At 38.8% G+C, this 17,269-nt stretch overlaps 1 protein-coding gene across 16 annotated transcripts in view, besides 2 other annotated features; it reads right to left on the reverse strand.

Moving 5' to 3' along the window:
- The window catches only part of RB1CC1 (RB1 inducible coiled-coil 1), a 91,978-nt gene that overhangs the window by 68,463 nt on the left and 6,246 nt on the right, over positions 1–17,269 (reverse strand). The gene's annotated exons all lie outside the window — the stretch shown is intronic.
- Positions 16,721–16,770: a silencer, noted in NCBI's record as "silent region_19188". NCBI's record gives its function as "represses an Ori minimal core promoter by ATAC-STARR-seq in GM12878 lymphoblastoid cells {active_cell/tissue: GM12878}" and the evidence as "EXISTENCE:reporter gene assay evidence [ECO:0000049][PMID:35858748]".
- Positions 16,781–16,940: a silencer, noted in NCBI's record as "silent region_19189". NCBI's record gives its function as "represses an Ori minimal core promoter by ATAC-STARR-seq in GM12878 lymphoblastoid cells {active_cell/tissue: GM12878}" and the evidence as "EXISTENCE:reporter gene assay evidence [ECO:0000049][PMID:35858748]".

A 17,269-nucleotide genomic window follows, 5' to 3' on the forward strand; every position in this document is an offset into this window, starting at 1 on the left:
TATCCATAAATACTTCAGAATGTCTTACCTAACAGCAAGAATTTTCTCCTTCATAACCAAAGTACATTTATCAAATCATAAAATTTAACACTGATGCACTATTATTATCTAATCTACAGTCCATATTCAAACTACTGCCTCAATAATATCCTTTGTAGTTTCCGCCCCTCAGATCCAGGATTTATTTCAGGATCATCATATTGCTTTTAGCTGTAATATCTATTTAATCTCTTCCAATCTGGGACAGTTCAGCTTTTCCTCTGCATGATCTACAGCCAATATATTGCTTTCAATCAGAAGCTTTAGAAATCGTTAGAGTATAGACGACCTCAGTTCCATTCTCCTCTTCCATGATACTTAAAGCAAATTGAGGGAAACTCCAATAAGCTGTAGCAGCTGTGTGCCTTTAAACAAACACTAATCTCTTCATTTGACATGCACACACCTCACCCTAAGAAACCATAATCATAAACAATGCTGACCAAAAAAAGCTGAAAGAAATAAACCTAATTGAGAATGAGTTTGTCTACATACTTGATGAACAATTTAAACTATTTTAAGGATAGTTTTGATTACACTGGCTCCAGAACCTAGGTTAAAATTAATTTAAACCACTTCAAGGATAGTTTTGATAACTGTGACTCTAGAACCTAAAATTTGACTCCAGTATACAAATTTCTAACAGCTCCTAAGTGATGTTAATGACAATATCATTTTCCCACGTTTTCATCCATTGTGTATAGTCCTAAGACTGGCATCTTTAATCAGAAGCCTCTTCTAAATATTTTCACTCTCTACATCCTCACTAACTGCCAGCTACCAAAAGTCTACCCAAGAACAACAGAGAAAAATCCAACTACTAACACAAGGCATCATTTCCCATGGGTCTACCAGTACCGGTAACCTGTGAGGAAATGTGACGCTCATTGCTTTCACGGCCACAAATGCTCTTCTTTCCTCCACATGTCCTAAGTAAATGGCACATAAAATCATAATCATAATCATTGCTAATACTTATTGAGTTATTCATTGTATACCACTCATAATGCTAAGTAGCTTTACATGCATGACTTCATTTATCATTACATGTAATACATTCATATCATTAGGGTTTCCATTTGCAGATGAGAAATTACAATTCAGATTAAACTTGTCTAAAGGAACAAACTTAGTAAACCAAAACAAAAGTAAACTTAGCCAGGGGTGTGAACACAGGTCAATAAATTCATTCATTCAATAAAAATATCACCTGAGAATCTAGTTAGGTACCAGGCATTTTCTTAACTTTGGGAATAAAATACAAAATAATAAAACTGTCTGCTCTCATGAATTTTAATATCATAGTGGGCAACATGAAAATTTTATATTTATATAAAACTCCATGATACCTACTTTCAGGGGGAAAAAAGCTACAAAAAATCTTTTTTTTAAAGTAAAAACAAACATGAAGTTCCAAAATACATACTTCCACTTTGCTTTTATTCTTTAGAGATAATGATACTGTTGGCATAGCAATAGCTTCCATTGACTGGAAACATGAGTAAGAACTGTATGAAGTATATGATATTCTTACAAATCCTATAGTGAGAGAGGTTAAGAATTATCCGCATCATTCATATGACAAAACTATGGCTCAAAGAAGTTATTTCCTAAAGTCACATAGAAAGAAAGTTGTAAAAACTTAAAATCCATAGCTGGATCACGGGGGAAAAAAGAACATGAACATACTACATTAAAATCCCTTAAATAAGACTACATGTAGTAAGCATATTCTATGACTTGGGACTTTACTATTCCTTTAGAAATAGCAACACTTTTTTCCCCTTGCAGATTTTCTCCCTTATGTGACCATTTAAAAAATTTCCTTTACTAAATACAATACAAAAAAAACCTCTTTCAATATGAAGTAAGAAGAGTGGAATAACAGAACACTTTAAATGTGACAAGGTAAGGTTTTCAACAGAAAGCAAAGTCATCATCCAAGAAATGGCATGGACCCAGATCCTGAGAGAACAAGATTTCCTTGTGTCCATAAATGAAAAGGTGATCTTCACCTACAACCACCTGATCTTCCACAAACCTGACAGAAACAAGCAATGGGGAAAGGATTCCCTATTTAATAAACGGTGCTTGGAGTCTTGGCTAGCCATATGCAGAAAACTGAAACGGAATCCCTTCCTTACACCACATACAAAAATCAACTCAAGATGGATTAAAGACTTAAATGTAAAACCCAAAACTATGAAACCCTAGAAGAATACCTAGGCAATACCATTCAGGACATAGGCACAGCAAAGGTTTCATGACAAAAAAGCCAAAAGCAATTGCAACAAAAGCAAAAATTGACAAATGGAATCTAATTAAACTAAAGAGCTTCTGCACAGCAAAACAAACTATCATCAGAGTGAACAGACAACCTACGGGATGGAAGAAAATTTTTGCAATCTATCCATCTGACAAAGGTCTAATATCCAGCATCTTCAAGGAACTTAAACAAATTTACAAGAAAAAGAAAACATACATGTAGCCAACAAACATGAAAAAAAAGCTCAACATCAAAGATCATTAGAGAAATGTAAAGCAAAACCATAATGATATATCATCTTACACCAGTCAGAATGGATATTATTAAAAAGTCAAAGAAAAAGACAGATGCTGGCAAGGTTGTGGAGAAAAAGGAATGCTTTTACACTGTTGGTGGGAGTGTAAATTAGTTCAACCATTGTGGAAGACAGTGTGGCGATTCCTCAAAGACCTTGAGGCAGAAATACCATTTAACCCAGCAATCCTGTTACTGATGAGAACATATAGACACACGGGGGTAGGATGGGGAAACAACACTCACTGGGGCCTGTCAGAGGGTGAAGGGTGGGAGGAGGGACAGCATCAGGAAGAATAGCTAATGGATGCTGGGCTTAATACTTAGGTGATGGGATAATCTGTGCAGCAAACCACCATGGCACATGTTTACCTATGTAACAAACCCATATATCCCGCACATGTACCCTTTAACTTAAAATTTAAGAAAAGAAAAGGTGATCTTGGCATGTAGCAGAGAGAAATTTTTCCATACCTGGTCATCCTGGCAGTGTGGAATTCTCTAGAAATGTGCATACTGAACACTTCACAGCTAAAGAAACATATAGAGGAGAACCTACCTATCGTAGCCAAGAACAGAGCTGAGTGTTTAACACAGACAGCTACCCCTTTGCATCCTCACACACTTCACTCCCAGGACACACACTGGGGCCACCTTCAAATAGGGAACTCCACCCTACTGCTGGCAACTGCAGGACAGTGAGGAGTATAATCTTGGCTCTAGAGTGGAAGACTCAACAGGTCACGTGGTCTCCCACCAGGCTTTCAGGAAGAAGAGGAGGGTGATTCAGGATCTGCTCTCAAAGCAGAAAATAACATGGTGTTGGCCTCTACTCCCAGGCTCATCCCCCCCGGGTAGTCCCCTGTGGATCCGGAGACAGTCTCGAACTGATGCCAACTGGGCACAAAACATGCCCACCATCCTGGATGGCTCATCCCGGACAAACGGGACGCAGCAGGAGTTTTCTCTCTTATTACATTAAACATCTATACATCATAGCCTCAATTTTGCCTCTTGGAGAGTAAAGCCTAAAATACTTAACTATCTGGTCCTTTAGAGAGAAAGTGTGTGCCTCTTCCTCCAAAGCTTAAGCAACTACAGCCACTTCAGTGAGAGCTGCACATACTTTAGTTAATACCAGGCATCTACTAGTGAAGGACTGAACCTCCTGGTAAGCAGCACTTCCATCATATGGAAGTGACAGCAACAATACAAAGAAGTCCTGCCCAGAGACAAGCCCAATTTCCCAGTTTTCTTTCTAACAGATGATAGACCCAGGACTGATCACACAATGACTGGTATTCTAGTTTAGTGGGAGAGGAAAGGGTAGAAAACCAAAAAGAAGAAGATATTTTCCATACCTGCCACCCATCATTTAATTCAAATATCCAAAGATGTGATTACTGGTGAAAATGACAATAACAAGTGACTAAGGATTACTATTAGCTTTTTAGTAGGAGTTCCTATAAATTAATAAGAAAATCACAAAGACTCACAATAGATAAATAGGCAAAGGGCATGAGTAGGTTATCAAGTGGTTAACAAATGTGGAAAATATTTGAGGCCTCTTCAGTAATCAAAGAATTACAAATCTAAAAAGAAGACAGTATTTTTCTCCTACTAAGCAAGCAAGATTTTCGACCTAAGATTCCAAGGTTTTCAACCCAAGAGAAAAGAAATAAAATGTATAAAGAAGTAAAAAGTACTTTAGAAATACTAGTATAAACAAGAATTTTTCTCTTTCCATAAAACATTTATTCCATAGCTCCATTGAAAAGAAGGCATTGACAGACCTAGAGCCAGAAGTACCCACAGCACAACAGGCAGTGAAAAATTAACATTAACCAAAGAAAGGTCTGGCCTTTGCCCTTCGCTACTGGGAGGTGATCTCTAGGCCCCTGTAATATCCTGACAGATAGAACTGTGTTTGTTTGCCTTAGGGCTTCAGTCACGTCAGTGTAGCAACGTGACTCATGTATCAGTTAAGTTCTGACCTCCAGAGGAACTACTGACTAAAGACATTGGTCTGACCTCCAGAAAGGGCTAGAGACTAAAGGTGAGTCATGTGGACAGTACAGGATCAAGCCATAATAAAAACTCTGGACACCAAAGACTCAGGTGAGCTTCCCTAGTGAGCAATACTCTGTGTATACTGTCACGCGTTGTGGCCAAGAGAAGGTAACACTGTCTATGACTCCACCAGCAATGATGGCCAGAAGCTCTGAGTTTGGACCCCTTCCAGATTCTGCTCTCTGCCATTGCCTGATTTTAATTTTTGTATCCTTCTCTTATAATAAAAGTGTAATTGTGAGTATAGTGCTTTCCTTCGTTCCCTGACCTGTTCCAGTGAATTCTCCAAAGAGAGGGTGGATATGGGGAACCTGTGAGTTTGTAGTCAGCTGGTTTGAAGTGAGGGTGGGTTCTGGGCACCGCCAAACTTGCCACTAGTACCTGAAATGAGGGCAGTTTTGTGGGACTGTTCCTTCTAACTGTAGAGTTGGCTAACCTCATTACACACTCATACTATGGTTTTTTTGTTTTTCAGACGGAGTCTTGCTCTTGTCGCCCAGACTGGAGTGCAATGGCACAATCTCGGCTCACTGCAACCTCTGTCTCCTGGGTTCAAGCGATTCTCCTGCCTCAGCCTCCCAAGTAGCTGGGATTACAGGCACCCACCACCACGCCCGGCTAATTTTTGTATTTTCAGAGAGACAGAGTTTCTCCATGTTGGCCAGGATGGTCTCGAACTCCTGACCTCATGATCCACCCGCCTCGGCCTCCCAAAGTGCTGGGATTACAGGTGTGAGCCACCACGCCCGGCCTACTTTGGTTTCTAGAAAGAACCTTTGGAGAAGTGGCTAATGCTAAATGTCTAAAGTAGAAAATGTACCAATCACATAAGCCTGGAACATCTTAATATGCCATAAAGCAAGACAGCTAACAAAGACTAAAGAGATTAGGTCAAAAAGGCAAGGAAAACAACTTTAAAAGGCTTCTACTGGCTATGATGGGACAGTCTGACCATCAAAAGAATGAGTACAAGTAACTGAATGGCAAAAACCCATAAAAATCCATGCTGCATAATGATACTCAAAAAAACAAAAACAAAAAACCTCAGTGAGCTAAGATAGAACCCATGATAAAAACTTAAAAAGCAAAGAAATTAAGCACTGTCCTTCCTATATGAAATGTATTTTGGATAGCTGGGCACAGTGGCTCATGCCTGTAATTCTAGCACTTTGGGAGGCCTAGGCAGGCTGATCACTTGAGCTCAGGAGTTCAAGACCAGCCTGGGTAACATGGCAAAACCCTGTCTCTACAAAATATACAAAAATTAGCCAGGCATGATGGTGCACACCTGTACTCCCAGCTACTTGCGGGGCTGAGGTGGGAGGATTGTTTCAGCCTGGGGGATGGAGGATGCAGTGAGCCAAGATCACACCACTGTACTCCAGCCTGGGCAAGGGAGAGAGACCGTCTCAAAACAAAAAACAAAACAAAACAAAAAAGATACGTATTTCAGTCCATTTATATGGAAAACCTCCAGCTAATAGCGATTCAACTGGACACAGCCCAAGTATAAAGTTTTCTTGCCACCCCAGACCACCTCTGAAAAAGTAAACCTGAATTTAATCAAGCAACTATATGTACCTACGGTTTCCAGTTTCTAGGAAATATGGAGTATAAAGAAAAAGACAAACATTATGATGAATCAGTTAAATTCAGAATAAGCATTCCACAGAACAATGACTCTGTTTCTTCAACAAATGGTTACTAAAAAAAAAAAAAAAAAAGAAGACTTTTTATAAACTAAAAAAGATGGACGAGACAAAATAAACAAATGCCATGTGTGAATTTGTTCAGATCCTGGATCCTGACTTAAAACAACTGTATAATAACATTTTTGGGATAAATGTGCAAATCTAAATACGGACAGGGTATCGGATTATACTAAAGAATTAGAATTACTTTTGTTTGGATGATAATGGCATTGTAGTAACAGAAAATGAACTCTGAAAAATTAGTGTGTAAAATGATGCCTGAGTCTTGCTTTAAACTAGTCTAGCAAAAATAAGCGAAGGAAGGAAGGCTGGAAGGAAAGAACAGAATTAGCTGGGCAGTAGAAAGGTGAGATTGGCAAAATGTTGGTACTTATTAAAGCAAGTGAGATGGCTATATTAGGTTCACTGTAACATTCTCTCTACTTTTGTATATGTTTGCAAATTTCCATAATAAAACACTAGAAAATGTATTATTTTAATCACATTCAACATTCATATTACAGGTCAGAATGTATTTTAAATAATTATGATGTTTCTGGAAAGCAACTGGTGTTTGTAGAGGTAGGTAAGCAAAGGTTTTATAAAATCACATTTCCTTAAGCCAATAACTGTACCATGAAATCAATTTTAGGGAAAAAATTTGAAATATAGTTAAAGCATACACAAGACACTTTCCTACATTTATTAGTAACAAATATTTGTCTACCCATACTTTTATTATTCATATTTTAAGACAGGATTTAAAATGTTACGGATAAAAATTAAAAATTTGATTTATTTATACATTTTTTAAGACAAGATCTCGTCCTGTCACCCAGGCTAGAGTATAGTGGCGGGATCACAGCTCACAGCAACCTCACAACCTCCCCGGCTCAAGCAATCCTCCCACTTAAGCCTCTCAAGTAACTGGGACTATGGGCATGCACTACCATGCCCAGCTAATTTTTTGTATTTTTTTGTAGAGACGGCGTTTCTCCATGTTGCCCAGGGTTGTCTTGAATAGAAATTTTAAAATATGAGAGAATAACTTTTTTTTTTTTACACGGAGTCTCGCTCTGTCGCCCAGGCTGGAGTACAGTGGCGCCATCTTGGCTCACCGGAAGCTCCGCCTCCCAGGTTCACGCCATTCTCTCGCCTCAGCCTCCCGAGTAGCTGGGACTACCACCACGCCCAGCCAATTTTTTGTATGTTTTAGTAGAGACGGGGTTTCACTGTGTTAGCCAGGGTGGTCTTGATCTCCGACCTCGTGATCCGCCTGCCTCAGCCTCCCAAAGTGCTGGGATTACAGGTGTGAGCCACTGCGCCTGGCCAGAGAATAACTTTTAATAAGGCTTACAGTATTAACAAAAACTGTATATGTAATGGTTGGTTTTTTTTTTTTTTTTTTTTTTTTTTTTTTTTTTTTTTTTTTTTTTTTTTTTTTTTTGAGACAGAGTCTCGGTCTGTCGCCCAGGCTGGAGTGAACTGCAACCTCCCCTTCCCGAATTCAAGTGATTCTCCTGCCTCAGCCTCGGAGTAGCTGGGACTACAGGCGCCTGCCACCACGCCCGGCTAATTGTTTTGTATTTTTAGTAAGGCAGGGTTTCGCCATGTTGGCTAGGCTGGTCTGGAACTCCTCACCTCAGGTGATCTGTCTGCCTCAGCCTCCCAAAGTGCTGGGATTACAGGCATGAACCAGCGCACCCGGCCTTCAATATGATTTTTTAAATGGTCAAAAATAATGCAGAGGAAAGGAAAAAAATCTAACTCTAAGCTAACCCTAACCCAAAACAATTAACAAGTGTCTGTAGGTACTGAATTGGTAATACTCCAGTAAAACATTTAGCTGCTGTCAGAATACACCACCCTCCTTGGTTATAATCTGACCTAAACAGAAGGAAAAACAACTGACTGCAGAGGAAGAACTTAACAGACCTGGTTAAAATTCTTATTCTGCCACTTACAAGCTGGGTGATTTTAGAAAAGAAATTTATCCTAACATTCAATTTTCTCATCTCAAAAGTAGAGATAACATCTTCCTCACAGGGCTACTGTAGGGGATATCTGTTCTTCAAAATTTACAGGTCAAAAGTAACAAGAGAATGAGAAGCAGATGGAAGTATAGCTAAAACAAGATTGGCCATGACGTGATGATAACTGAATCAAAATGATGGGTACATCATAGCTCATTCTTCTATTGCCTATCTTTCTGTGTTTTTGATTTCCATTAAGAATTATAAAAATACAGCCGGGCATGGTGGCTCACGCCTGTAATCCCAGCACTTTGGAAGGGAAAGGCAGGTGGATCACTTGAGGTCAGGAGTTCAAGACCAGCCTGGCCAACATGGTGAAACCCTGTCTCTAGTGAAAAAAAAAAAAAAATACAAAATTAGCTGGGCATGGTGGCACATGCCTGTAATCCCAGCTACCTGAGAGGCTGAGGCAAGAGAATCACTTGAACCCGGGAGGCAGAGGTTGCAGTGAGCCGAGATTCTGCCACTGCACTGCAGTGAATCTCCGTCTCAAAAAAAAAAAAAAAAAAAAAAAAAAATATATATATATATATATATATATATATACACACAAAAACAAAAGAAAGCTTATAGAACAATCCCAGTGTTTCCACACCCACACAACAGGATAAAAATGTCTGAATGATGCCAGGAGCTGTTTCACCAAAGCAAGTCAATTTTATAAAAGGCTACTACAAAGAACCATGTCTACTCTAATACCTACCTACTGGCACAATGCCTATACAAGAGCTATGTGCATGCTAGAATTACCTATATAATCCCCTCCCATAATTCATGCTACACAAAAAACTTTAATTTTTCCCTCTACCTATTCCTCACACTCATCTTTTCTCATATTGATGGGAAGAGGTAACTGAAACACTCTGAAGGCAGTCTTTCACGGTGGTAAGACAGAGCTGAGAAAATTTTCTTTGCCACTATGTCTCAAAGAAAATCAGCAACATGCTGGGTGCATTGGCAGCACCCTTGGGAGGCCAAGGCAGGTGGATTGCTTGAGATCAAGAGTTCCAGACCAACCTGGGCAACATGGTGAGACTCCATATCTACAAATATACAAAAATTATCCAGGTGTGGTGACGCACACCTGTAGTCCCAGTTATGGGGGGGTGGGGTGGGGGCGCTGAGGCAGGAGGATGGCTTGAACCTGGGAGGTTGAGGCTGCAGCAAGCAGAGACTGTGCCACAGCACTCCAGCCTAGGCAACAGAGCAAGACTATCTTTAGAAAAAACAAAAAGAAAAGAAAAAAAATCAGCAACATGTTCTTAATTAAGTGTGGACTAAGCATATCTTATTGGTCATTGGCATATCTTATTTGCAGCCAATCCATTAACATGAGCAGAACATACAAACAATGTCTGATATGACCACCCTGTATCCATGGCAAGGCATAAACACTAAATATGCTTTACTAAATAAAGGGAACATAGAAACAATTGCCAATAATGAAAATTACAGTTTCCTATAAGTAAACATGTATACACAAAAACAAATTGCACCAACATCTAACCAATATAAAGGATATTCAAGGTTTTCTTATTCTCAGACTACACTCTCAATCTCAATGTTTAACAACAACCACTGCAGGCATGAAACGTGAAATCTTTACTTGAATTGAATTTCCCTGGACCTGTCACTGCATTAAGAGGGAGGTTGACCTAGGTGACACCCAAAGTGCCTAATTACTAAAGATTCTACAAGTAAGTTGTATAAATTGGACTCTCAAGCCAGTTGTTTAGGGAAACAGACATAACTGGTCTCTTTCTCAAATGGCTGTACAACCTTATGTATATAACAATGTGTGAAGGACCAGATCTTTTTTTTTTTTTGAGATGGAATTTTGCTCTTGTTGCCCAGGCTAGAGTGCAATGGCGTGATCTCAGCTCACTGCAACCTCCGCCTCCTGGGTTCAAGGAATTCTCCTGCTTCAGCCTCCCGAGCAGCTTTGATTACACGCACCCACCACCACACCCAGCTAATTTTTTGTATTTTTTAGTAGAGACAGGGTTTCAGCACGTTGGCCAGGCTGGTCTCAAACTCCTGACCTCAGGTAATTCACCTGTCTCGGCCTCCCCAAGTGTTGAGATTACAGGCTTGAGCCACTGTGACTGGCCAAGGGACCAGATCTATACAACAGCAGTAAATGGAAAAAGGAGTTTGATTACTGCTTTGCCTGAACACTCTGATCCAGTCAAAACAAGAGGATACTGACCTGTTTTTGCTCACAAGGATCATTACTTCCTTTTCTTCTTTTCTTTTTCTTTAAGAGATGGGGTCTCTCTATGTTGCTCAGGCTGGTCATGAATTCCAGCCCTCAAATGATCCTCCCACCTTGGCTTCTCCAAGTGCTGGGATTACAGGTGTGACTCACCATGCTCGGCCAGATCATCACTTTTCTGTCACTTAAATCTCTTGATAAAGCTGCTTGATCTCAAATTTTCTCTTCTTTACCTTAGCTCCTATACCACTAAAGTCTTCTTTGAAAAAAAAAAAAATCACTTTTTTTTTTCTTTTGAGATGGAGTCTCACTCTGTCACCCAGGCTGGAGTGCAGTGGCACAATCTCAGCTCACTGCAACCTCCGCCTCCCGGGTTCAAGCAATTCTCCCTGCCTCAGCCTCCCAAGTAGCTGGGATTACAGGCACCTGCCACCACGTCCAGCTCATTTTTGTATTTTTAGTAGAGATGAAGTTTCACAATGTTGGCCAGGCTGGTCTCGAACTCTTGACCTTAGGTGATCCACCCACCTCGGCCTCCCAAAGTGCTAGGATTACAGGCGTGAGCCACCTTGCACAGCCAAAACTATCTATTTCTATCTTTAGCTGTTATTTCAACCCTGGATTATTAATCTTTATGTGGTCATGTAATAAAGCTGGTCAGATTTTAATTGAAATGTATGGTTTATAAAATTAGTTAAATACTCTGTATGGGTACCAGGATGAATAAAATATACCTATTCATGCTAATGTTTTAAGTTCTCTTATTAAAAGAAGTATCATATGACCTACATAGACCAATTTTGTGTAATCTAAGTCAAAGTTATAAAATTCTACTGAATGAATCTTCTCCAGAAGATCCATGAGCTGCATGGCTTTATTATCAGGGAAAGAAATGTAGATAAAACAGGCCAGGCACAGTGGTTCATGCCTGTAATTCCAGCACTTTGGGAGGCCGAGGCAGGTGGATCACTTGAGGTCAGGAGTTCGAGACTGCCTGGCCAACATGGTGAAACCCCATCTCTACTGAAAATACAAAAGTTAGCTGGGCATGCTGGCTCTCGCCTGTAATCCCAGCTACTCAGGAGGCTGAGGCAGGAGGATCACTCGCACCCGGCAGGTGGAGGTTGCAGTGAGCCGAGAGCATGCCACTGCATTCCAGCTGGTTGGCAGAGTGAGACTCAAAAAAAAAGAAAAGAAGAAGAAAAAAATGTAGATAAAACAAGAAAACAACTTTCTTCATCAATACATGTCTGTCTAAATTTCCATTCTCTAATCTGTAAATGGGGATATTTATCATACCTACCTCATATGGCTGTTGCAGAAAAAAAAAAGAAATCACAGTAAATATTCCCAAAATGTTCTCTAGGGACAGGAAGTAACTCTGTGACATAACACAAAGCACTCAAAAGCATCTGTTGAATAAACAGGGTTTCATAAGCAAATGTACTCTTGGGGTTCTAGTAGCAGTACTCTAAGCAAATGACAAAGCAGAATCCAAATAGTAACTTAGTAACAGAGAGAGATCACATGCAGGTAGCTAATTTTCAGCAGTTTCTTTATCAGCCAATGTGTTCCCAGTATCTTATATTAAAAAAAAAAAAGTAATCAACTTGGTTTAATATATTTTAACATCATATATGAATAAGTACTCCTTGGTTCCACATAAACAGTTACTAAGTATGTGTATCCTCTCTTCCACCTTATTCCCATTAAGCTATCTAATTCAGATCTTCCTACTGCATATCGGGCTCTAACAATTACCTATCTGAGCACCTACTATCTGCAGATTCCATCTCAGATGACACCACCAACTACATAATCTTAGATTCTTTTAATGTTTACTTCTCCCCAAACTAAAAATGCTTCATAACTTCTACTCAAGTATAAATTCCTTAGACTGACACTCCACTATTTCCTTTATTTGGGTCCCTACATGAAGCTCCATACCATTTAGGCTGATCTCCTGAAATGAGGTGCATGAATAAATGGATTTTCATGCCTCTACTCATGTCATTCCACAGCTTCCATTATGTAACCAAGAATTCACAAATATTCTGTCGTAAAGTCTTCCTCAATGTACTGGCTGTCAGTGGTCTTGTTCCTGAAGTACTGACAGCCCATACTTCAAATTCCAACTATTCAAGTAAGTGTTGGTATTCAGAACATAAATAAATGCCCTGCTACACTTTTTTGCCACTTGCCAAATAACTTACATCGCCCAAGCTGTATTGCAAATGGCTAAAAAAAATTTTGGTCATGACATATCATACCTCAATACCTAACATACTACCTAGAGACAGTAAACAGTCAATAAATGTTTGCGGTCAAAACCATGGATAAGGACTACGGCAACCAAAACTGAAATCAGAAAGTTGCTCAGAGAGAATCCACAGGAACACTGTCGCTATTTATTCACAAGACTGTATACTTTATGTTACATACTCCTATATGCTATCAAAATAACATGATCCCATGAAACTGAATTCTCTCCTTTGTATGCCACAATTGTTAAAAAACATTCAGCAAAAAGGGACATCAGTAACCAAGTACATATTTGGTCACCCTGAAATAAAAAATACTTGGAAAGAAATAAGAGATCTGGTTTTTAGTCCTAGCTTCACATCTTTACTCCTGTGATTTCAGGAGTTATCCAATTTCTCTGAATCTCAGTTTCGTCATCTTAAAACATAAAGGGGTACACTAGATTATTCTTCTGATCTTCTATAAATAGTCAAATCATACATTAAACATGAGTCTAACACACTGAACAAATACTAATTTTAAGAAACTTATTGTGTGTTAGTGCCAAAAAGTAATAAAAAGCACATTACCTGCCTTCCAAAAAGTTCAATAATACTAATATGAAGAGAGGTATGCAAAAGTTAGACTGAGAAAGAATGGACAAGAATTCACACAAAGGTGACATTAAAAAAAAAAAAAAAAAAACACAAAAGTATATGTAAAATCAAGTTCCAACTAGAAACTGACAGTTTACCCTCACTGATCACATTACTAAAACTTAAGAGGATAAACTTAATAAACCAATGATTTCTTTTAAGAAAACAATCATTAAAAGGAGCTAATTCTTTTATTAACTTGCAACTTTGGGAATGCTTATTATGTACATGTACCCCTAATTTACGTAAAGTCCATTAAATCCTGTAAGTGGGTTGACTCTCTATGATCTAGAACTAAAGTTATTGCATGTAATTGTTAAGTAAGGTACAAGCACAGAAATCAACTGCTATTCAAGGAATTATAAAGTAACTTTATAAGCCTTATATAAATAAGCCTAGTACATAAGTATTACTTTTCACCAAATAGTCACGATTTCCTAAAATCTGACTTGATGCTCATTTTATATAAAGTCCTTCTTAACTTTTATAAAATGAAACCATATTTAATACTATACAAGTTAACACAAGCCAATTCTAAATTAAAAGTAACAGGTTAGTAACTCAACAACTGACACAAGATTTTCTTAAATTATTTGACCCTCTGCTTAAACAGTCTTTAGTTTCTACCCACTAAGAATTACTATAAACTGCCTACCATATATACTGAGACTTCGTAGGACAGAACAACTGTCAAAACATGTCAAACATACTCATAACTCACACGGTAGTTAACAAGTTAGTAGGAATCATGATGCATTAATAAACATAATGCATGAAACTGAACAGATCCAAATTGATCTTTATACATGCATACCTGCACTTGTGTATCTATACAATAATGGTGGGATTTCAAATTGGGGAGAAAGGATCAACTTTTCATGCAATGGTATTATGACAAATGGCTATCCATAGCATGAAGAAAAATAAACTATCTGGAGGTACATATTCACTAATGAGAACTAAAACATCAACAAGGTACTACTTTTTACCCTTCAGATTACTACTAATGATTAAAATGAGTGCTAAGTGTTGACAAGATTAACAGTGGGTCCACTGGCACATTTCTGACAAAAATATAAACTGGTATAACTTTTAAGGGAATTTAATCTGGCACTATGTATCAAAATTTAAAATGTACAAACCAGCAATTCTACTTCTGGGAGCAAAGAATGAAACAAGTGTACAAAGGTATATATATGCAATGATTTTCATTATACCATCACTTTTTAAAATGATGAATTTAAAAACTATCAATGGAGGTTGGTTAAATAAATTATGCCTATAGTCCTAGCTACTCAGAAGGTTGAGGCAGGAGGATATGGCTTGCTTGAGCCTGGGAGCTGGAGGCTACAGTGAGCTATGATGGCATCACTACACTCCAGGCTGGGTGACCCAGCAAGATCCTCTCTCCAAAAAAATAATAAATTATTACACAACCCTATAAGGTATCAAATTTTAGACATTTAAAAATGTTTTGATCTATACGTATTGATCAGTACAAAAAGCAATTTACAGTATATATTATGTGATTCTGTTTGTGGATTTTATTTTTACAACTAATGCAGGAGGACATATGTATATGCAAGCACTTAAAAAGTCTGGATCAATTTAATAGCAATCTTTTTAACACTGGCTATCTCTGGATGCCAGACTTTTACTTTCTCCCAGTTCTTTTAAAAATCACATTTATAATTAGAGGGGAAAAACACATATCCATTAAAAAAAAAAGATGACACCCTATACATTACAAAGAAATAAAGAACCTGAATTTGTTGCACCAAAAGAGTTAGTCCCACCAAGAGAGCAAGACAAAGATTCCCACCAGCCTTCCCTATTTCAGTCCCAATCTGAGGTCCTAGGGGAGTTCTGCCCCACTCCCATTCTAAATATAGCCTTCCCTAAATGGTCATTCATGTTTAGTCTTCCAACTGTTATCTTTTTTTTTTTTTTTGAGATGGACTTTCACTCAGTCACCTAGGGGCTGGGTGCAGTGGTGCGATCTCCGCTCACTGCAGCCTTCAGCTCGTTGTAGCCTCCGCCTCCCAGGTTCAAGAGATTCTCCTTTGGGAGGCCGAGGCAGGCGGATCATGAGGTCAGGAGATTGAGACCATCCTGGCTAACACAGTGAAACCCCGTCTCTACTAAAAATACAAAAAATTAGCCGGGCGTGGTGGCAGGCACCTGTAGTCCCAGCTACTCGGGAGGCTGAGGCAGGAGAATGGCGTGAACCCAGGAGGCGGAGCTTGCAGTAAGCCGAGATCTCGCCACTGCACTCTAGCCTGGGCTACAGAACGAGACTCCCTCTGTTTCAAAAAAAAAAAAAAAAGAGAGAGAGAGATTCTCTCTCCTCAGCCTCCAGAGTAGCTGGGATTATAGGCACCCACCACCACACCCAGCTAATTTTTTTTGTATTTTTAGTAGAGACAGGGTTTCGCCATGCTGGCCAGGCTGGTCTCAAACTCCTGACCCCAAGTGATCTGTCTGCCTCAGCCTCCCAAAGTTCTGGGAATACAGGCATGAGTCACCACGCCCCAATTGTTATCTTTATGTAAACATAAGAGGGAGAACAGAACTGTGAAAAGAACATGAGATTTGGAATCAAAAGAAGTATATTCAAGTCCTGGCCCAATGTGACCTGAACTGACTTCACCTAACAAGTTTTTTCATTTGATTACAAAAAGTAAAAGTACCTGTCTCACAGGGTTGTGGTCAGGATCTAACGAATAATCTATACATATATGGAAGTTATGTAAACCATAAAGTGAAATACAAACATCAATTACTGTTATTAACTAATCCAGATCTCTGTTCTGAGTTTAGAGCTAGCAGTAACTGATGCTTCATATTTCCAGCTGGAAATCCTACTGTTACCTCAAACTCAACATGTCCAAATTTAAATTCGGTGCTTTTCCTTTAAATCTATTCCCTAATTTATTCACTGTCAATGAACTATCATTCTACTATTGCCCCAAACTTCAGTTATTTTTCTTTTCTTTTTCTTTCTTTCTTTTTTTTTTTTTTTTTTTACAAACTTTCCAAAGTGACAATGGACCAGGCTTCAGTTATTTCTGTCCAAGTCCTACCCATTTTTTTCCTTTCTAATCCAACCCCTCATTTTCCAATGACATAACCCTTACTTAGGAAACTGCAACCTCTTCTCTCTGTCTTTAAATCTCTATCCGGCTTCAATCCTTCCTAAATACTCCCTACCAGTTACAACCAAGGTAGTCAGGCTGCTTCCCTCAAGTATCTTCCCTAGCACCTTACTGTTGCCTACAGCAGGGCACAAATCTGTAGTTTCTTTACAGCTACACTCTCTTTGTCACCTCCGGTTCAGTACTCAGACAGTTTCACTTAATTGTACTATCTGCCCACCCCTCTTAGCATGTGAATTTGCCAACTTGATATAGGCTAGATTAACATAAAAATGGCAGACTTAGGAACAAAATTTACTTGTATTTGAATACCATCTATCTCACTGAGGCTCAGGTAACCTCCACATATCAGTTGACAATCTATAAATTGCAACGATACCTTTCACAGAGATGAGAAGGATAGCAATAATGTACTTCAGAGTCCTTTACGGTGCTAGGAATATACTAAAAGCTTTAAAAATGGTGGCAATTATGACTTTAATTAAACTCCAGCACTCAAGAACTTCATAATTAACCCCAGTTTATTTTTGTAGCAGTATCATCAACTACTCCCTTACATGACAAACCTATACCCTCACTTTACATACTCCTGCCAGGTAAAATACCCCC

This window comes from Homo sapiens, chromosome 8 (assembly GCF_000001405.40).
Source record: "Homo sapiens chromosome 8, GRCh38.p14 Primary Assembly".
NCBI lineage: Eukaryota > Metazoa > Chordata > Mammalia > Primates > Hominidae > Homo > Homo sapiens.